This window comes from Homo sapiens, chromosome X (assembly GCF_000001405.40).
Source record: "Homo sapiens chromosome X, GRCh38.p14 Primary Assembly".
Lineage (NCBI taxonomy): Eukaryota > Metazoa > Chordata > Mammalia > Primates > Hominidae > Homo > Homo sapiens.
Genome location: NC_000023.11, coordinates 31724917 through 31747221, shown reverse-complemented (window position 1 = coordinate 31747221; position 22305 = coordinate 31724917). Strand labels below are relative to the sequence as shown.

General features: G+C 36.2%; 1 protein-coding gene across 20 annotated transcripts in view; it reads left to right on the top strand.

Moving 5' to 3' along the window:
• The window catches only part of DMD (dystrophin), a 2220167-nt gene that overhangs the window by 1592167 nt on the left and 605695 nt on the right, over window positions 1-22305 (top strand). For all 20 annotated transcript variants that reach the window (XM_006724469.4, NM_000109.4, XM_011545467.2 and 17 more), the window contains 1 exon segment: window positions 17474-17591. In XM_006724469.4, the coding sequence (XP_006724532.1) occupies window positions 17474-17591 (118 nt within the window).

Here is a 22305-nt window from a genome sequence, read left to right as displayed (position 1 = left end):
TCATCTCTTAAGCTCCTGATCAATGTCTAACACCTCCTACCCCCAGCAACACTTCACTGCAAGTATATTAACACTCTATAATAGCAATTCCACTCACCTACCAAGAAATGATCTTCACAAATGATTTACAGCTAAACCAGAGCTTAAACACATAGCACCCAATCAAGGGCAGATTTTTATCTTTTTCCCAGTCATATAAGTTCTGAGAAGAAATAGATTAATGTTGATCTCCCAGACAACTGCTGAGAAAATGTACAAAGGATGTTGTTTATTTTGAAGAATGAGACCTAGTTGTTAAGCACTTTTTCCCCTTATATGTACGTCCAAAGGTAACCATTACACCATTTTGATGCAAATTTAGGATATATATTTATTCATACCTCTCTTCTCCATTCGGATGTTGTCTGTGTGAGTGCTCACAGACACATGCACACATACACACATGCACTCCTGTTTCACACTTATTTGTAAAACTCACAAGGATTTCCAAGCCATTAATATAGCATTGTTTAAGGTGAACACATGGTTGTTCACCATCCATATGTATCTTCACTTTGTAGCACTCAGAATTTGGCAAAATCAGAAGGCTGAAACCTCATGGATTAAATATATTCTATATAACATATGTCTTAATTGCTGTTACTGTAAAGAAACCTGGACTAGCCATATTTGACTAATTTCTACCTAAGGTATTTGAATTCTTATAAATAGATTCATTGCTTTAATCACACAAGAGTGGTTTATATGAATGTAATTATCTCCACTTTATAGCTGAATAAACTGAGCCTGATTCTATCCCTATATGGGAAACATGAATTGAACAGCTGTGCCAATTATTTTGATAATTCAAATTTCACATCTACCATGTGAAGACAGCAGAAGAGGGTTAGGGGGCTTGAATTATTCTGATTAACTGTGTTCATGAGTGTAATCGCCTCTAGATAATCACTCATTTCTTCACTTCACTTCCCATCTACAGGTAGTATCAGCGAATGGTAACATCTCTTGCTTTGCCTCAGTTTATTGATGGCTGCCGTTAGAAATAAAAAGCATGGTTTTGTTTCAGTACTTAAATGAATAATATCTTCAAAATGTTTTTAAAACGTGAAAAGGTTGAATGCATTTTTAACAAATGTTTTGTTAGCTTTGACTTTTATTTTTGAACAGATGAGCACAATACCCCAGTACTCCTTTCCTAGAAATAGGAGTACTACCTGAAGACTTATTTCCCAAAGAAAAATATCAGGTCTAGTGCAGCAATACGTATTAAGGGCATTGAAAAGTTATATTCACAAAATGTGACATCATAACATATGTTAATACTTCTTATCACTGATAATAATCCTTGAAGTTGTATTTCCAGAGAGATCTCAATTTCTTCTCACACTCTGAAAGTCTCTGTTTATCCTTTAGAGTAGGAATGTAAGAATTTAACAAAACATTCTGAATGTTTACCTTTTTTCTAAACTGAAACTACAATCCCTTTTTACCCCTATATAGTAAAATATAATATTACAAGTAGAATCAGCAAATTTGTTTAATAATTCTTTGGGACAGTTTTTACAAGCAATGGGGTTGAATTTATGTTCCTTGTGTGCAGTGGAGTTATTATATTCTTCTTAAAAAGATGCATGAAGGTAAATTAGAAATGTTTTACATGTTTTCATGACAGGACATTTAATCAAAGAGGAGATACAAGAGGCTTTTCTTGGGTTACTGCAATTTAATTTTCCATTTCTTTCTTGGAAGGGACATTGGATGCAGTTGTACGAGGTTAATATTTCTAACATGCCACTTTTATTGTGGCATTCTTCTGCTCTCAAACCTCTGATGATTTCCCATGGCCTTCAACATGATGTCCTTATTTGGGCATCTAGTGTTCTGAGCCCTCACATTCTGGCCCCAGCTTCCCTTCTCAACTTGATCACAGCCATCGTAATTCTGCTAACTAATTACACAGCTGCCCTTCCCACTCTTTCTCAACCACTCTGCTGTATTCTGACTTCTACACTTTAGTTTTAAAGCTACTCCTTGTCCTGAAATTCCTTCTCCCATTAGGTCATTATTAATTGAGTTCATCCTCTAAGTTACAGTTCATGTTGCTGTTCCTCTATGGCACCTTCCCTGAACCTGGTCCCATATAAAATCCCATCTCTCAGAATCCCATTAGGGTAGGATATGTGGTCTGTAGACTATTACGTTTGTCATTTACATATTGTCTTCTATTATTGGGTAACTGCGTGTGCGAGCATGCATGGGCTGGCCTGAAGGTCACCTCCCCAACTGCATTGAAAGTTCATCACAAGTTCAATTATTTCACTAGAGAGTCTCTTTCATGTCATCCATGAGGCACATTCCCTACTGTGATGTGTTATGCATACAATTATTTCAATAAATATTTTCTAGCTCTTTGATTGACCAAAGCTTAATTACCTGTCAACTCTAGCCTCTTGTATCTGGAATTTCTACAGTCTTTGGATAGTATCTTTAGGATGCAAAATTAGGAGGAGTATGTACCAGGCAAACTATTACAAATAATGCCCTCAAATAGTTACATTTCACTATTCATGTCTTGTAATTTATCTTCTGCTTTGGTATTTTAGTACACTTATGATTCAATTTGCTGTATAGATTCCTCTGAATAGGGACAAGAGAATTCGTCTTGATAAGTGGAAGTTCGAAGGATTCCAAAATGATGTTATTCAAGGTAGAACAAGAAATTAATACTGAAAAAATTGAGGAGTAATAATCCCCAAATATGTACATGCGTATCTCGTTTTATTGGGTTTCACTTTATTGCACTTTGCAGATATTTCACTTTTTGTAAATTGAAAGTTTGTGGCAAGGCTGCATTGAGCAAGTCCGTCGGGCACAATTTTTCCAACAGCATGTGCTCGCTTTACGTCTCTGTGTCACGTTTTGGTAATTTGCTCAATATTTCAAACATTATTATTATTATTATATTTGTTATGATCTGTGATCAGTGACCTTTGATGTTACTATTGTAATTGTTTTGAGATGTCATGAACTGCACTCATATGAGATGGCAAACTTTGTGGGGTGCAGTGGCTCACACCTGTAATCCTAACACTTTGGGAGGCCAAGGCAGGAGGATCGTGTTAGCCCAGAAGTTTGAGACCAGTCTGGGAAACAAAGTGAGACCCTGTCTTTAAAATATATATGTAGAAAAATTAACTGGGCATGGTGGCACATGGCTGTAAGGAGCCCTGCCAGCTGCATGGGAGGCTGACACAGGAGGATCACTTGAGCCCAGGAGGTCAAGGCGGCAGTAAGCCATGTTCACTCCAGTGCCCTCCAGCCAGAATGACAGAGCAAGACCCTGTGTGGAAAAAAAAAAAAAGACAAACATTTTTTCAACTTTGATTTTAGATTCAGGGAGTACATGTGTAGGTTTATTACCTTGATATATTACATGATGCCGAGGTTTGGAGTACAAATGATACTGTCACCCAGGTACTGAGCATAGTAACCGATAGTTAGTTTTTCAACCCTTGTTTCCCTCCCTCCCCACTCTAGTAGTCCTCCGTTTCTATTGTTGCCATCATTATGTCCATGACAACGCACTGTTTAGCTCCACATGAGAACACGTGGTATTTGGTATTGTGTTTCTGCATTAATTCACTTAGAATAATGGCCTCCAGCTGCATCCATGTTGCTGCAAAGGACATGATTTTGTTCTTTTTTATGGCTGCATAGTATTCCATGGTGTATATGCACCGTATTTTCTTTCTCCAGTCTGCCACTGATGGGCACCTAGGCTGACTTCATACCTTTGCTATTGTGAATAGTGCTGAAATGAGGATGAGAATACATGTGGTTTTTTAGTAAAGCAATTTGTTTTATTTGGGCTATATGCCCAGTAATGGGATCACTAGGTTGAACGATAGTTGTGTTTTAAGTCCTTTGAGAAATCTTCAAACTGTTTCACTGTGGCTGAACTAATTTGCATTCCCAGCAACAGTGTATCAGAGTTCCCTCTTCTCTACAGCGTCAGCAGCATCTGTCATTTTTTTGACTTTTTAATAATAGCCAGTATGAATGGTGTGAGACGGTATCTCGTTGTGGTTTTGATTTGCATTTCTCTGATGTTGAGTGATGTGGAGCATTTTTTCATGTTTGTTGGCCACTTGTATGTCTTCTTTTGAGTAGTGTCTGTTTATGTCTTTTGCCCATTTTTTTTGATGGGGTTATTTGTTTTTGACTTGTTGAATTGTTTAAGTTCCCTATAGATTCTGAATATTAGACCTTTGTCAGATGCATAGTTTGCAAATATATTCTCTTATTCTGTAGACTGTCTGTTTACTCTGTTGATAAATTCTTTCACTGTGAAGAGCTCTTTAGTTTAATTAAGTTCCACTTGTCAATTTTTGGTTTTGTTATAATTGCTTTTGAGGACTTAGTTATAAATTCTTTCCCAAGTCTGATGTCCAGAGTGGTGTTTCCTAGGCTTTCTTATAGGATTCTTATAATTTGAGATCTAATGTTTAAACCTTTATTCCATCTTGAGTTAATTTTTGTATATGGTGTAAGGAGGGGGTCCAGTTGCATTCTTCTGCATATGGCTAACCAGCCATCCCAGCATCATGTCTTAAATACAGAGTCCTTTTCCCATTACTTATTTTCATAAGATGGCAAACTTAATCAATCAATGTTTTGTGTGTTCTGGCTACTCCACTGATCAGCCATTCCCTCATCTCTCTTCCTCTCCTTGGGCCTCCCTATTCCCTGAGACACAACAATATTGAAATTATGCCAGTCAGTAACCCTACAATGTCCTCTAAGTGTTCATGGGAAAAAAAAGAGTCACATGTTTGTCACTTTAAATCAAAAGTCAGAAATGATTAAGATTGGTGAGGAAGGCATGTCAAAAGCCAAGACAGGCTGAAAGCCAGACCTCTTGTGCCAGTTGGCCAAGTTGTGAATGCAAAGGAAACGTTCTTGAAGAAAATTAAAAGTGCTACTCTGTTGAACACAGGAATAAGAAAGTGGAACGGCCTTATTTTTAATATGGAGAATGTCTTAGTGGTCTGGATAGAGGATCAAAACAGCCACACCATTATCTTAAGCAAAAGGCTAATCTAAAGCAAAGGACTAATTCTCTGCAATTCTGTGAATGCCGAGAGAGGTGAGGAAGCTGCAGCAGAAAAGTTGGAAGCTAGCAGAAGTATGTTCATGAGCCTTAATGAATAAGCCCTCTCTATAACATAAAAGTGCAAGGCAGAGCAACAAGTGCTGATGGAGAAGCTGCAGCAAACTATCCAGAAGATCAAACTAACATCTAAGTTAATAAAGGTGGCAATACTAAACAACACATTTTCAATATAGACGAAACAGCCTTCTATTGGAAAAGGATGCCATCTAGGACTTTCATAGCTAGAGAGAAGTCAATGCCTGGCTTCAAAAGTTCAAAGGACAGGCTGACTGTCTTGTGAGGGGCTAATGCAACTGGTGACTTTCAGTTGAAGCCAGTGCTCGTTTACCATTCCAAAAATCCTAGGGCCCTTCAGGTTATGCTAGATCTAGTCTGCCTATGCTCTGTAAATCAAACAACAAAGACTAGATGACTGCACATCTCTTTACAGCATGGTTTGATGAACATTTTGAGCCCTCTGTTGAGACCTACTTCTCAAAAAAATGTGTCTTTCAAAATATTACTGCTCTTTGACAATGTCCCTGGTCACCCAAGAGCCCTGAGGAATATGTCCAAAGAGAATGATTTTATTTTCATACCTGCTAACACAACATCCATTCTGCAGTCCTTGGATCAAGAAGTCACTTCAACTTTCAAGTCTTATTACTTAAATCATACATTTCATAAAGGTATAGCTGCTATATTGTGGTGAGTCCACTGATGGATCTGGATAAAGTAAACTGAAAACGGAAAGTCCTCACCATTCCAGATGCCATGAAGAAAATTCATGATTGAGGGGAGGAGGTCAAAATATCAACATTATCAGGAGTTTGGAAGTAGTTAATTCCAACACTCATCAATGACTTTGAGGGTCCAAGACTTCAGTAGAAGAAGTCACTGCAGATGTGGTAGAAATAGCATGAGAACCAGAATGAGAAGTGGAGTCAGAAGGTGTGACTGAATAGCTGTAATCTCAAGGTAAAACTTCAGCGGATCCAGAGTTGCTGCTTATGGATGAGCAAAGATTGTGGTTTCATGAGATGCACTCTACTCTTGGTGATGATGCTGTGAACATTGTTGAAATGACAACAAAGGATTTAGAATATTCCATAAACTTAGTTGATAAATTAGCATCAGGGTTTGAGAAGATTGACTCAAATTTTGAAAGAAGTTCTACTGAGTAAAATGCTATCAAACAGCATCACATGCTACAAAGAAATCATTGGCTATAAAGGAGAGCCAATCGATGCAGCAAACTTCGTTGTTGTCTTATTTTAAGAAATTGCTACAGCCATCCCGACCTTCAGCAACCGCCACCCTGATCAATCAGCAGCCATCCTCACTGAGGCAAGAGCCTGTACCAGCAAAAAGATTATGACTCCCTGCAGGCTCAGATGATTGTTACCATTTTTTTTAGGAGTAATGTATTTTCAAATTAAGGTATGTACATTTTTTAGATACAATGCTATTGCACACTTGACAGATGATAGTAGAGTGTAAACATAACATTTAATGCACTGGGGAACCAAAAATATTCGTGTGCCTCATTTTATTGTGATATTTACTTTATTGCAGCAGTCTGGAACCAAACACACAATATTCCAAGGCAGTCCTATATATTGTTTCATGTCTCTCTTTCTTCTAAAATGTGTGTAGGAGAAAAAATTATATCACTTATGTTACTGGGCCATAATATCAAAAGCCTGCGAATCTGATGCACATGATAAAAACTGGTCTTAAACCTGTCTTGATTATCCTTTGTTAATATGCCAAATTTATAGAACAATAGAGTTTCAAGAAATGTGAACAATGTAGAATAACTAAAAGATCTAACGTTGAATAGCTAAAATTATCAACGCCCTTTATATCACTTTAGAAATGCGTTTGCAAATCATTATCAACAAATTGTAGCATAAAATTCTTTTTTTTTCTTGACTTTGAAATTGTATTTCAAGATCCGCAATTTACACCACATTATTTACTTACTGGCTTGTGAAAGTGAAAGGCATTTTCATTTTTGGATGTTAAGGGTTTTAGTAAATGACAAGTAAATCAATCCTTTAAGTTCCGTGTGGTATAATAGCTTGGAAAGGACCATCTTAATCTTTTTTTCAACACAGGGAGATAATTTATTTTAAAAATAACACACTAATAGTAGATTAATATTATTACCATTTCAAAGAAGTCACCAAATTTGGTAGGCTTAAGAGGTTTTTTTTTTTTTTTTGAGATTACTATGCTCTTTTTTTATTTTATTTATTTTATATTTATTTATTTATTTTTTAGTTTTTTAATTTTACTTTAAGTTCTGGGATACATGTGCAGAACGTGCAGGTTTGTTACCTAGGTATACATGTATCATGGTGGTTTGCTATACTCATCAACCCAACATCCAGGTTTTAAGCCCCCAATGCATTAGGTATTTGTCCTAATGCTCTCTGTCCCCTTGCCCCTCACCCCTTGACAGGCCCCGGTGTGTGATGTTCCCCTCCCTGTGTCCATGTGTTCTCATTGTTCAATTCCCACTTACGAGTGAGAACATGCAGTGCTAGGCTTAAGAGTTTTTTTAACTCCCCAAAATATCAACAAATTGAAACATTACTACAAAGAAATAGAGAAATAAATTTCACTGACTGTCTTATTGTTTTTTAAGTTTGAATAGCTAATAATGATTTCTTAAACAGCTATCATATTTTTTATTTTTAAAGCTAGCCAAATGATCAGTGATTTTTATAATACTGATAAATACTGCTTAGAAAAGGAACATGTGTTCTAGCAATTTCCACACATTTCTGATTCTAATTACTTGTTTCTTTTTGTTTTATTTTTATATTTTTAAGTTTTGTGAGTACCTAGCAGGTGTATATATTTATTTGGTACTTGAGATGTTTTGATACAGGCATGCAATGTGTAGTAAGCACATCATGTAAAATGGGGTATTCAACCCCTCAAGCATTTATTCTTTATGTTCCAAACAATCCAATTATACTCTTTTAATTAATGTAAAATGTACAATTAAATCATTATTGGTTATAGTCCCCCTGTTGTGCTATCAAATAGTAGGTCTTACTCATTCTTTCTAACTAATTTTTTGTACCCAGTAACTATACCTACACCACCCCCACCTCCCCACGACCCTTCCCATCCTCAGGTAACCATCCTTCTACTCTCTATGTCCATGAGTTCAATTGTTTTGAATTTTAAATCCCACAAATAAGTGAGAACATGCAATGTTTGTCTTTCTGTGTCTGATTTATTTCACCTAGCATACTGACCTCCATTTCCAACAATGTTGTTGCAGATGACAGAATCTCATTCTTTTTTGTGGCTGAGTAGTATTCCATTGTGCATAGGTACCACATGTTCTTTGTCCATTCATCTACTGATGGACACTTAGGTTGCTTCCAAATCTTGGCTATTGTGAATAGCGCTGCAATAAACATGGGAGTGCAGATATCTCTTCAATATACTGATTTATTTTCTTTTGGGTATATACCCAGCAGCGGGAATGCTATATTATATGGTAGCTCTATTTTTAGTTTTTTGAGGAACCTCCAAACGGTTCTCCATAGTGGTTGTGCTAATTTACATTTCCACCAACAGTATACAAGGGTTCCTTTTTCTTCACATACTTGTCAACATTGGTTATTGCCTGTCTTTTGGATATAAGCCATTTTAACGGGAGTGAGGTAATATGTCATTGTAATTTTGATTTTCATTTCTCTGGTTATCAATGATTCAGTGATGTTGAGCACCTTTTCATATGCTTGTTTGCCATTTGTATGTATTCTTGATCTGCCACAAGTCTCTAATTACTTGTTTCTTGTACCACTGTTTCCCTTCATTGTAGTCAGTGATTTGGTCAATCAACACTTTTTACGTATGGGTATCTGTTAACTGTATTTCTAGGAATGGACCAAGAATTGAGAAATTTATCCCAACCAGAAAGAACAAAATCTATGGAGGCACAGGATTACTGAAAGCTTTGCTCCTATAGCCTCAGTTTTTTTCTGCAAGTTCGCTGCTTCCCAGTTGTCCTTGTGATAAAATTCAAAACCTCAAACTGATTTTTAAAAAGCCAACTATATACTGCTTCTACTATGTCTACCTAAACTTATTTGCCATTATTTGTAAAGAATTCCAGGCTCTAACCAGCCCATTTGAGGCTTTATTTTACGTTCATGCCTTTGTTCATGTCTGTCTTTCCCTTATAATGCTCTTCTCATTCTCTAGCCAAATCTGCCAAAGTTCAGCTGTAGTGCCATACTTGATATGAAGTCTTTGCTGAGAATTCCCATATGTGGTCATTTCCTTCACTGATTTGTTTCAATAGTTGTTGCCATTATTATTATTTTTTTTATACTGTTGCTGGATACTTTCGCAGATCCAATCTCTAACCTGTTGTTCTACCCTAGGAGGTTGACCAATATGGCAGTAGCATTGGGCTTGCTTGTCTATTGGCTTGGTCCTTGTGTTGGGAGGCATCAGCAGATCAATGGATGAGAGGAGAGTGAGTCGAGGGATGGCTAGGTTCCTTTACTCACAGCCCCAGCTCCTGTCAAGAGGTCTTGTCCCTGCAGCCACTTCTCAGATTCTACTAACTATACCCTCCCCTTAGCCTTTCAGGCCTTGAGGAGGAAAGCCTCCTCATCCCACTTTGAATGAACTATTTATTGCAAGAACCATGACTGATTCAGAATATAATCTGTCCTTGAATGAAATAGTTAATTTCCCCTTTTGTATTCTCGTTTCATATCCCTGTCCCTTTATCCATTCCTATATTATATCATACTATCATATAGCTACCTTATATTATACTATGACATGAGTACCTTGTAAGTATATCATGCTATATTATAGTTCTTAAGTGTGTGGGCTTTGGGGCCAACTTACCTATGTTAGAAGTTCTGCCACTTATTACCATGTGATCCTAGACAAATTGTTTAACTTCTTTTTCATTCATTTTCTTTACTAGTAAAATAGGGGCAATATTAGTACCCACCTCACAGAGTAATATGATAATTACATTGACTGATAGTTTTTATTTAAAACTTTTATTGTTCTTACTATGAAATGGGAAATGTTCTAAACACCTTACAAATATTAACTCTATTAATTCTCATAATGAATCTGAGAGGTAGAGACTCAGTATCTCCATTTCACAGTGCTGGAAATGATACAGACAGCATTTAAGTAACATACTGAAAATAGTAAACCGAATAGGTGGCAGCCAGTATGCAAATTGGGAAAGCCTGACTCCAGAGTTCATTCTTTTAACTAGTATGCTGTGATAGACTCTTTTGGCATATGGTATGCACTCAATAAACAACTATTGTTGTTGTCGTTAGCATTACTTCCCATTGTATTATTACACAAAAAATAATTGTTTATGAGTATTTGTTTGCTAGATTATAAGTTCCTTGAAAAAAGAAGACAAGTTTTATTTGTCTATGTGTACTAGCTGAGTGCTTGGCAAATAGTTGCAGTTTAGTAAATGTTTCTAAAACAAATTATTAGTTGTTTCTTATGTATTTCCCAAGTCTATCCTAGCCTTGGAAACAGCTAACACTTAGCTAAACCTAGAAATGTCATTTGAGATTTCAGCAGCCATCATTGTTGCTGAAGCCACAGGTTCTCCTTTTTATCTCCAATTTCTTCCTCAGATGATTCACCACTTTCTTTGTCGTTTCCCTACTTCATTTTTCCTATAGTGACTTTTGTTCTCCAATAACCATTGATAGTGATGACAGTCCCACCTTGGAACCACTTCTAACTGTCCTGTTCAGCTTTTCCTGAGGCCAGATTTCCCCCAAAATACATTTTTTAGCTTCATAACTGCTCCTTCCAGAAATTTGAAACGCATTCTCAGGAATTAAGCAAGAGGCATTTGATTGACGTCATTTAATTTGTGTTTAAATGTGTTCTTCCCATCAACGATTAACCAGTGCTTCAGCCAAGATACATAACTTTTATTCTCCACTAACCTTAGGGTTGAGGTCACAATCAGGTACGTAATCTGTAGAGCCCAGTGAAAAATGAAAACGCAGGGCCCTTGGTTAAAAAAAAATTAAGAATTTCAAGATGGCAACAGTAGAGCATGAAACCAAGTATGAATCCCTTCTAATGCAGATCCTTGTGTAACTAACTGCACAAGTTATACGTTCAAGAAGCTGGTCCTGGTTGAGGTCTTTGTCTACCTAGGGCACTTCTCACTCAGAGAGGTGGAATAATCTTAACTTTCTGTCTTCCGTCATCTGAAAACTTGCCCCAAAGTTCCTTTTGCCATCTCTTGCAGCAAACCTAGTGGTTGTTATCTGTTAAGGATTCCTGGTGGCTTGCTTTAGTTTCCTACAGTTCTTGAGCTGCATGTGTTGAATGGAACTCCACCATTACCATGTAACACATCTGAATACTCTTATTTTCCTCCAGTTAAATTCTGCGCTCCTTGGAAATAATGGTCATGCACCCTACCTTAGTGATTTCTAAATAGAGGTAGTATGTAAAAATACATATTTACTTGAATTGCATCTTAAGAGGCCAGCCCATGGGAGGCATGAAGAAACCTATGTTACTAATTAATATTCAATAATTGACAGTTACACATTCAGGTAGTAGTGTCATGGAACCATCACGTTACATGGAACTGAAGAGCTGATGAGAGGTTTAGGGTCTAGGAGGACAAAAGTGAGTGTATTAGTCAGGGCCTGAGGTTATATGTACCCAGACAGGATAAAATGGGACAATATTTTATTAGTGGAAATATCTATGTGAAAGAAAAGAAGGAGGAAGCCAAGGAAGGTGCAAGAGATGTTAGATCAAGATGCAATTCTGACTCTGCAAGGAAGAGAGAGGGAGAGAAGGCTAGGCAGAAGCATCCCAGTGTGCGGTCTAGTGGAAGGAAATTTTGGCAAAGCTGTTGGGAAGTCATTGAGGCAGAGCCAGGCAAAGAAGTCCCATGTCTCCCAAGGAAGGCTCTCTGCCTTAGTATTCCCACCACACCCAATCATTGGGTGAGGAGAAGTCTGTGAGAAGCTTGGCTTTGGTGCAGTGCAATCATGGATTTCAAAATGCAGTAACAGGAGTCCTCAGTCAGTTAAGACCCAATAATAGAAGGCCTGCATATTCTCATGGTGGCCACTTGGGTATGAGGAGCAGTGGTGTTTAAAACTGTTTTGTATAATTTAAATAAAGAAAAGCTGAGGACTACTTAAGCTTGATTCCTTCAGAAGACAGTCTTTGGCCTTTATATTTCATGTGATATCTTTGCCATATGCTCTGATAACTCTCCATGTTTCCCCTACCATAATACCTCAGGTTGTTGCAATTGCTTTTTTATTGCCTGTCATCACTACTCGTTTGTTTTCTCTTTGAGAACAGGAATTATTTTCTCCTTCACTGCTACAGCCCCTGCACCTAGCTCAATGAGTGACACAACAGAAGCACTTAAAAAATTGCTATAACTCAAATTTGGGGGATATTCTACAAAATACCTGGCCTCTGTTGGTCAAAACTGTAAGTGTTATAAAGTTCAAAGAAAGGCAAATAACTATTTCAACTTAAAAAAGACTAAGGAGATACGACAACTAAAAGCAATGCGTGAGTCTGGACCAGACCAGGAAATAAAAATATAGCTATAAAGTTCATTAATGGGGTAATTGTCATACTCTGAATATAGAGTATGGATAAGATTATGGTACTAAAGCCACGCTAAATTTCCTGACTTTGAAACTGAGCTGAGGTTATTTAAGAGAATGTCTTTGCTATTAAGAAATAAAACCTAAAGTATTTAAGGGTAAAGGGGCATGATATCTGCAAATTATTCTCAAATGATTCAGAAAAAAAATATATATATATAAAACATTACATATACAGTTATATATCTATACACACAGAGAGAATGATAAAATGATAAATAATTAAAAATAATGTGGCAAAATGTTAACAAATGGTGAATCCGGGCAAGGGTTACCTGGGAGTTCTTTATCTTGCAAATATTCTGCAAGCTTGAAATTATATAAAAATAAAATGCATCTTATAAAGTATTTATTCAGTGAATAAAGAACAAAAAAGGCTAACTGCAGTTGGAAGATATTTATGAAGTTGGTTATGAAGATTCTTAAGAAGTTACCGATGGAGGTGCTAGTAGAACATTCAAAAAAGAAGTAGGGAAGGTTGACCAAGTAGGAAAATATCAATATCCAAGCCAGTATAAAATGGAAATGAGAAGTGAGGAAGTAAGTGGAAGACAATGAGGATGGTTTTCGATTTGGCCACTCTATTTGGAGAGGCAGCCGAATGCAAGAATAGAAGCCAGAAGAAGATGCTCAGTGAGATGGTTGAAAGCTAGATAGATTACAGCATCCTCACCAGTAAAACCCTTTCGGTAACTAGAAAGGCTACAATTTAGTACCTTCCTGACTTCTATGCTTATTTTCTTCAATACATAAAATGGTTCCGTAAACTCTTTTACCTTCTGAATTCTTTATATTAATTTTTTGAAGTTGTAAATAAAATAGCATCAGTTCTACATTGTTACATTTCAGCTTAATTCATATTCATTTACTGAAAATGGGAACATTTGAAAAATCATCATGGGCATTTATGCTATGTAGATTGTTGATTTTTATAGAAAAATATAAAAATATGACCAGTTTGATTTTCAAAGTCTTTTCTTAGACATGTAAATACTAAGCATTCAACTCAACATATAGAGTTTTTATTTGAGTATTATTTAGGTGGAATTCTATTTTAATGAATACAATAAAAAATTGTAATTTTGTCTAAAAGCCTAAAATGCCCTAGTTATAATATGTATGATTTCACTGTTTAACTTCCTATTTCATAGGGTTGCTATTTATAACCACTTCACTCAACTCTGGGGGGACTTAGTGAGATTAAAGACTTCTGATTCACTTTGTATTTGAAGAATTTTTTTTCCTCCATCTTTGCTCAGCTAGTGGAATCCATGATGAATTCTCATCTCCAAGGGGTAAGCAGTTTTTAGTAAAGCCCAGTAGCTGACTTATGACTCCTTAGAAATAGCATTGATTCCTTCCTTCTCCTGTGTTTTGTTTCCTCTAGAATGATAGAATCCATGTAGACACGATCCATTATCATGCTTAGGTACTGGTAAGCATGTAATGATTTTAGTTTTGTTCGCTTTAAGTTATTTGTGTCACAAATATCTGGGATCATATCAGAGAAATAAATAAGCACAATTAGCATTCTACTTGTTTGTTATGACTAAAGCTAGGTTGAGGAAACAGAAAAGGACCAGAGGTCATATGAGGATGAAGATAATACTAGGAACAGCATGTTTGGGAGAGTAACATCTGGTAGGGGTAGCAGATTGGGGGCAGAGAACAGAATTTTATAGATGGATATTTTGGAGGCAAGTAGTTTGAGTAATGATTAGATCTAAGGTGTTTTCTCATCTGTGGGTGGCTCGAAGGAATAGAGGTGAAGGTCAGTTTATTTGAGAAGTTCTGGAATTATAAAACTAAGTTGAAGTCAAAGAAAGTATAGTAGCAAATAAATAGAATACCCTTAAAAGGAAACCAAATGAAAAATAATCGTTACTCTCACCATATGCTTGTGTTCTTATTAGCAAGAAATTCTTTTAACCACTGTTTTTATAATATCTTAATGAAAAAATACTGAAGCGTATGCCATATTAAATCCCTCTCTTTATTTCTAGAAAGGGAATCAAAGGAGAAAATTCCCATTCTGCTATACTAAAAGACCACTAAGTAAAGAGCCTATTAGTGTATGATAAATCCCATAGCAATATACATTATCATTTTACAGCTTCTTTGTTGAAATGAATGTTTGTATGTGTTGACCATAGAGTGGGATAAAAAGTTGAAATTTTGTTTTGAAATATTTTAGAAATGCATAGTTGTACTGCAGTTGTGAACCTCCTTAGATTTTTAAGGAGGCTGCTTCAAAGGATCTCATTAATAATCTTCTCAGGTGCTTACAAAGCATGTGTCTGTCAGCAGAATTAGAGAATCACCCAACTAGAGAACAGGTTTCACAATACCCTGAGACCTATTTTGTTCATTAGAGAGGAAAATGGCTTGTTTTGAGTCTAAGTTGACATGCTTGCTAATTTCAGCAATAAAAGCTGTTCATTGTGGTCAGGTTTAATTTAGAGCCTGGTAAGGTTCAGATTAAAGTTGATCAACTTACTTTTACAACATACTTCTTAAATGAACTTTGAAATCTTAAAAGAAGGAAAAAAGTATAGCAAACAGTGAATAATGTATCTAAAACTGAGAAGCAAAAAAAATCTGGTTATGTGAGAGTGAATTAAAAGAAGAACAACCCAATAAAGATAATCTTTGTTATATAAAAATTTCCAAGTATCGAAAAGCACGATTTTTCATGTGAGTTACACACTATACCGAATATATTTGTCCACTGCCACATGCATAGTCCCTAGAATAGTGCCTAGTGCTGAAAAATATTTATTAAAATGAATGGATGAGTAAATGAATTTATGTATTTTGCCAGCCCTGTGTATTTAAAGTTCTCTGTTAACTTTGAGGTGAAAATTTGACTTCATCTGAGGTTTCTGGGTAAGTCCGTTTTAAAAATTCTATTGAACATATTCAAACATTTTAGGGTAGGCAATTCCAAAGCAACCTTTCAGCTTCCCATGTCACAGATGACCAGAGTTTCACATTCTAACACTGGAAAACATCTTATTTCATAAAATCTACCTGCTACTATATGGTTCCTACTTTAAAATTTGTTCAGTACTCTCCAGCTGACTTATGCCACTTACTTCAATAGCTGTCTTTGGCAATTTGTTCCATATTTCAAACACTCTGTTGTGTAAAGAAACCATAAAAGTTAGAAACCTGAAAATTGGATTTTTTTTCTGAGCAATCACAGCTTACAAATGTGGAAAATTTGTTAAAAGTTAGCCCCTCCAATTTTTCAATACAGAGAGGAGAAAGTGCCTAAAGTAGATGTACAATGTTTGGAAAAGTTTTTTGCATTATTTTACTATTACCAAAAGCAATTGAGTTTAAATCACAAAGCCTGTCTCCCTACCTCTTCACAGAAGAAACACTACAGAATGATCAAAATTTGGCCTTTCCAAAACCAAAATTCGTTAGAAAATCAGCAGGAGTCAAAGTACAGAGTAAATAACTAAGTTTCATATAAGTTTCAGATACATTACTATCTACCACTTTCATCTCTTCATCTTCATTGGCCTCATGTGGTAGAACATCATATTTAAAATTATACAAACTTGCTGGCTTGTTTACTAGTGTGGTTATTATAAGAAAAAAATGAGAAAATATAGATAAAACATCTGTCACATATTGCTTATAAACTAACAGTAAATATTACTTGTATTTTCCCCAATTAAAATAAAATTTACTGAGTTTTAGAACCAGAGCTAGTCAGATGCCTTTTTTTCATAAATTTCTTCATAAATACCTCTGAGATTGTGGTCCTTAAATCTAGAGAGACTAAGATGACAGAGAAAATAGACACTGAAGAAAGGGAAGAATATCTTAATGATTTACATTACTACCTATAAATTAAAAATTGTTAACTTTATTATATTTGTATTTTTATTTAAAATAGTGCTATATTAAAGTCATTTATAATACAGGGGAATAGGAATACTAACCTGTAATCTGATGCTCTCCAAACTTGCCTAAATCATAAAAGTTAATTAGATAATTTATTTAAAATGCAAGATTTGCAGCCCTTTCCACTACATATTCATTAGTTCTGGAGGGAGGCAAAAAGGTTTGGTGATTCTTACGGACAGGCAGCTTAGGAGAAAAGCTGATTTAGCTCGTCTACTTCACCTTTTCATTTGACAGGTGAGAAATCTCAGGGGTACAATGAAGTTAAATAAGTAATATCTCTTAAATCGGTTCTGTGCTTTTTCTGTTTTTAAAATAAATATACCTTAATTTTGACGTCACACAGAATGATATTATAAGTATAAATAGTTATCTATCTTTTAAATACATTGTCGTAATTCAGAATAACATTTCTTACTCAAGGCATTCAGACAGTGGTTTAAGTAATCCGAGGTACTCCGGAATGTCTCCATTTGAGCCTTTAAATGAAGAAAATCTATAGTCAAGATTTTCATTTGAAATATTTTTGATATCTAAGAATGAAACATATTTCCTGTTAAATTGTTTTCTATAAACCCTTATACAGTAACATCTTTTTTATTTCTAAAAGTGTTTTGGCTGGTCTCACAATTGTACTTTACTTTGTATTATGTAAAAGGAATACACAACGCTGAAGAACCCTGATACTAAGGGATATTTGTTCTTACAGGCAACAATGCAGGATTTGGAACAGAGGCGTCCCCAGTTGGAAGAACTCATTACCGCTGCCCAAAATTTGAAAAACAAGACCAGCAATCAAGAGGCTAGAACAATCATTACGGATCGAAGTAAGTTTTTTAACAAGCATGGGACACACAAAGCAAGATGCATGACAAGTTTCAATAAAAACTTAAGTTCATATATCCCCCTCACATTTATAAAAATAATGTGAAATAATTGTAAATGATAACAATTGTGCTGAGATTTTCAGTCCATAATGTTACCTTTTAATAAATGAATGTAATTCCATTGAATAGAAGAAATACATTTTTAAATCAATTCAGGGCTTATATAGTTGCAAAGCATGCATTGATGGGTGTGGTGACCACAGTGTGGCAGAACATTTGTGGCAGAACATTTGTTCTTTAGTTGTCATCTGGGCTGGCATCCATGGAGATGCCAGTCTCTCCCTCATATCCTTGGCTGTTGGTCCAAGCAGGCAGTGGCTTCTTCCTGGGCCATCTTTCATTCCCATGTGCAGTGACTTTCAGATCTGGATATCTCTCCGCTACTTTGATGCCCCCATTTTGTAATATCAAAAATCATCGTACTGTACCTTATGCCGTAGTAGGGTGGGCAGGAACTTTGGTAAGACCCATCTGACTAGACGCTGTGCATATTCTTTTCTTCTGACATACACTCCTATCCATTTAATGGGGAGAGTGATTCGCAGTGATTGTGTGTTGTGTCAGTGAGTTTCCATGGGGTCAGGAAGAGTGACAGACGAAGGAGTAGGGGAAACTCGCCACCCGGTTTCCCTCAGAGATTCTCCTCAGAAATGAGGTCCAAGTCAGCTCTGCTTTCAGGTTCTCTCAGATCTCTCTCGGTTTCTTCACTTCTCTCTACCTTCCTTCCCTCCAGGGACACACACTGGTATTGAATTTTCTTGCTTCCTCTGCAATATCCCCTCATTTTCCTTCCCACAACCCGAAGAATCCTTTGTAGTGCAGGAAGGAGGAAAACCTTTCAGCCATCTTTTTTTTTCTCTTTGAAATCTTTTGTCTTTTACCAGGCTTAGACTTTTCAAACTCGGAAACCATGAGAGTCTATATCTTCATAATTTATATTCTGCTATGTTAACCCTTCCCTAAGGAAATGACTAGTTGTCAATATGTTGGGGAAAGTGAAAGAGTAACCAGAGTAAAAGGTTAATATTTTAAAATATTATTAGTCATACTTCCACATATTGGGTAAGTACTTATTGATAATAGCTAGTATTTATTCAGTACCTCATAAGCATTAGATGGTGTGTGCACATGTGTGTGTTTCTGTGTGTTTCTGTGTGTGTGTACAAAATCTTTACAGAATCTTGTGAGCTATATTTTATAATCCCCATTTTATAGACGAGAAAACAGGTTCCAAGAACAGTTACTCGGCCGGGCGCGGTGGCTCACGCCTGTAATCCCAGCACTTGGGGAGGCCGAGGCGGGCGGATCACGAGGTCAGGAGATCGAGACCATCCTGGCTAACACGGTGAAACCCCGTCTCTACTAAAAATACAAAAAAAAATTAGCCGGGCGTGGTGGCGGGCGCCTGTAGTCCCAGCTACTTGGGAGGCTGAGGCAGGAGAATGGCGTGAACCCGGGAGGCGGAGCTTGCAGTGAGCCGAGATTGCGCCACTGCACTCCAGCCTGGGCGACAGAGCGAGACTGCGTCGTTTACAAACAAGCAAAGAACAGAGCTTGGAATTTGTAAATGTCTCTTTCTGACTTGAAAATCTGCGCTCTTTCTAGTATGTTTACCATTTCCCATCTTGTTTTGTTGCTTTTGTTAATGACCTTAATCATTGTACTAAGACTAAATACTTCTTTTGTCTGAAATTATGTATGTTTTGATTCACTTCCTAAAGACATGTCTTCTTTCAGTTGTAGTGATTGCTAATTAAAATAGGCTGTTCTTGGTTTTGAAAGTTTAACTCTTTATTGTTGCTTAAACAATGAATGTGGATGTATGCTAATGTATTATTTCAGTAACACTAGCCACTATAACAGGTAATCTCCCAAATCTTGGAGGCTTACTACAGCAGAAATTTACTTCTTATTTTAGTGCAGTCCAAAATAAGCAGCCCTCTATGAAGTCATTCAGGAACCCAAGCTCCTTCCATCTTTTGTGTCCAGAGCATAAGACTCATATGCATTTAATGGGCAGATGAAGAATGAGTATTACTCATGAAAATTTGTCATGAGCCACGCCTGGAAATGGTGTGTGTTAATTTTGTTCATATTCTGTTGGATGGATCTTGTCACATGGTCACACCTAACTGCGAGGGAATTAGGGAAATAGTGTACACTGTTGAGCCTAGGAAGAGGAACAGATTTGGTAAGATAGCCATACAATTGATTTAGCAGAGCATTCCTCCACCATACTGGAACCTTGAGGGTTCTCCAACAAGTTGCAACACACTGACCCAAAAGAGTGAATCTTAGTGAGTGATTTACTCAATATGAGACTGAATTCCCATTACACAGGTAAGTGATCAGTTTCTTGCCTGAGAAATATGGAAATTTGGCAGTGAGGTTTATGCAAATCTGAACATACTATACAGAGAGTCATTTGTTATTTTACTAATGAAAAATCACTTCAATTTTTTCCCTAAGAGGAAGACAATATGAATGTATTATACAGTATTTGTTCAACATTGTCTGAACATTTTCCATTATCCCCTGCATTTTTTTTTCATATTGCATTGACTTTTTCATGATAGAGATTAAAATTGAATGACCGGAGGGCAAGTTTGTATCTCTCTGCCAATATTCAGTGATTTGAATAGTTCTTCTTTTCTAAGCTTTTGTCTTTTAGGAATGAATACCTTTATGAATATTTGCAGCCTAGTGGAAAGGCTGTAATCCAAATGGTCCAAGAAAGCATTTTCTTAAAAGCAAGTGTCTGTCGAGATGTGTCATAGCGCTTATTAAGAGTCTAAGCTGGAATCTTAGTTCCAAATATGCCTGGAGCCTCTAAATGGTACCAGGATAATTCTGACAAGATATGTTTATCTAAACAATGTCATTTGCAGCCCTGCTACACTTCAGTTTATCTCTCCCTTTGAAATCTATAAAATGGGATGGAAATTCAATACTCATAAACTTTTCGATCGTGTTCAAAATAGAATTTTTCTTAGTAAAGATTTGGTTTTCAGGAAAAGGACAGAAATAAAATACTTGCTCATAAAATTGTATTTTCTCATTTGATGATTTTGGTCTTCCTTTTTATTGCCATGAAACTTCTAGAAATGCTCAAAAAGAAATCAGCTAAATAAAGAAAAAATAGTTAATATATGTATGTAATACTATATTGAAACATTTTTCTTTCTCTGGTAAATCCCATTTCATAACTTTGAACAGTTGGGAAAATCTATACATAGTTATTGCAGTCTATCAAGAGAAAAGTTCAGTACAAAGCTATTTATGTCTACTAGAAATATTCATGTTAAACTTCAAGTAATTGGGTGTGCAAGCCACCACCATGTTTTACTATATGAAACTATTACCGTGGTATCTGTTGTATTCAGGTAATTATATTGATGGAAATCATGCAGTAATAATCTAGGTAAGAGAGTAAATTTTGTCTAAATCAGATCAAATGAAAAATTCTCCCTCTTTCTAATATTCGAATTGCTCATTTTTCTTTAACTCTTTGGTGTCTGAATTTGTCAATCATTCCTGGCCATTTTCTTCTGCAAAAGGGCTGGGTCAGGGGACCAAAAGCAGATAAGATTAGAAGAATTTAAATTTTCTTCCTTGGAGGCGTCTGAATTACATGAAACTCTTGTTCGTGTCTGTTAATACTGCAAGGCATAATACCATAATACCTTGCATAGCAGTGAAGAGGATTTGGAAAGATAAAACTGCTTCCTTTTATCATTCTGTTTATTTCACAAACAATATTGGTGAATGTCGTTCCTGTAACATTTGGATTTAAGAGCCTTGTTTCTGTAGCTTCTCCCTCCGTAACCCCCACCACTACCATTTCGGGGCTATACAGCAATAGCATGCATTACTTTAAAAGGCAGGCTGCCTAGACTGGCCACTTGTTAGCTTTGTGGCCTTGAGCAAATGACTAATCTCAGTAAACTATCTGCTCTTAGTTTCCTTCTCTGTAAAATAGGCTCACTTATAACTATCTCATGGGTTGGGAGGATTAGATGAAATAATTAATGTAGAGCCCTTAGATCAGGGCCATAGTAAAAGCTGAATGAATGTTAGCATTTGTTATTTTAATTATAATCTATTGGGGTGCTTTGAAGGCTTAATGCAAAATACTTAATGAGCTTTTTGGTAGCTGTTTAGTTATTTCGCCCCCCACCACCACCCCAAAAGGAGAGATTTAAAAGACCGACAGGAGAAGGTTGCTTGGAAAAGATGGAATAAGATCTATAAATAGAATTAAACAAATATTCAGGAAAGCCTTTTGTGGGAAATACTGCAAAATTTTTATTATCTATAAATTTAATAGGTAGATAAAATTACTACTCCCATTTTAGAGACAGAAAACCGAGACTCGGAGAGCTAACGTAACTTGTCTAGGGTCTTAGGAAGATGACAAGTGAGGAAGTAGAATTCAAGCCCACGTCTATATGATTTTAAAGCCCGAGGCACATCAAATGGAAAAGGCTGGTTAGTCAGAAAAATAGGAAGGTATATTTATCTGACAACTTAAAATATTAGGACTAACCTCAGGTAATTATAGTCTGGATATACATTTTTGCTGCTCCTGTTTATACTTTTGACTTCTGTGTATTTGAGTGTCTAATCAAAGGATTGTCTTTTACATGTGTTGGAG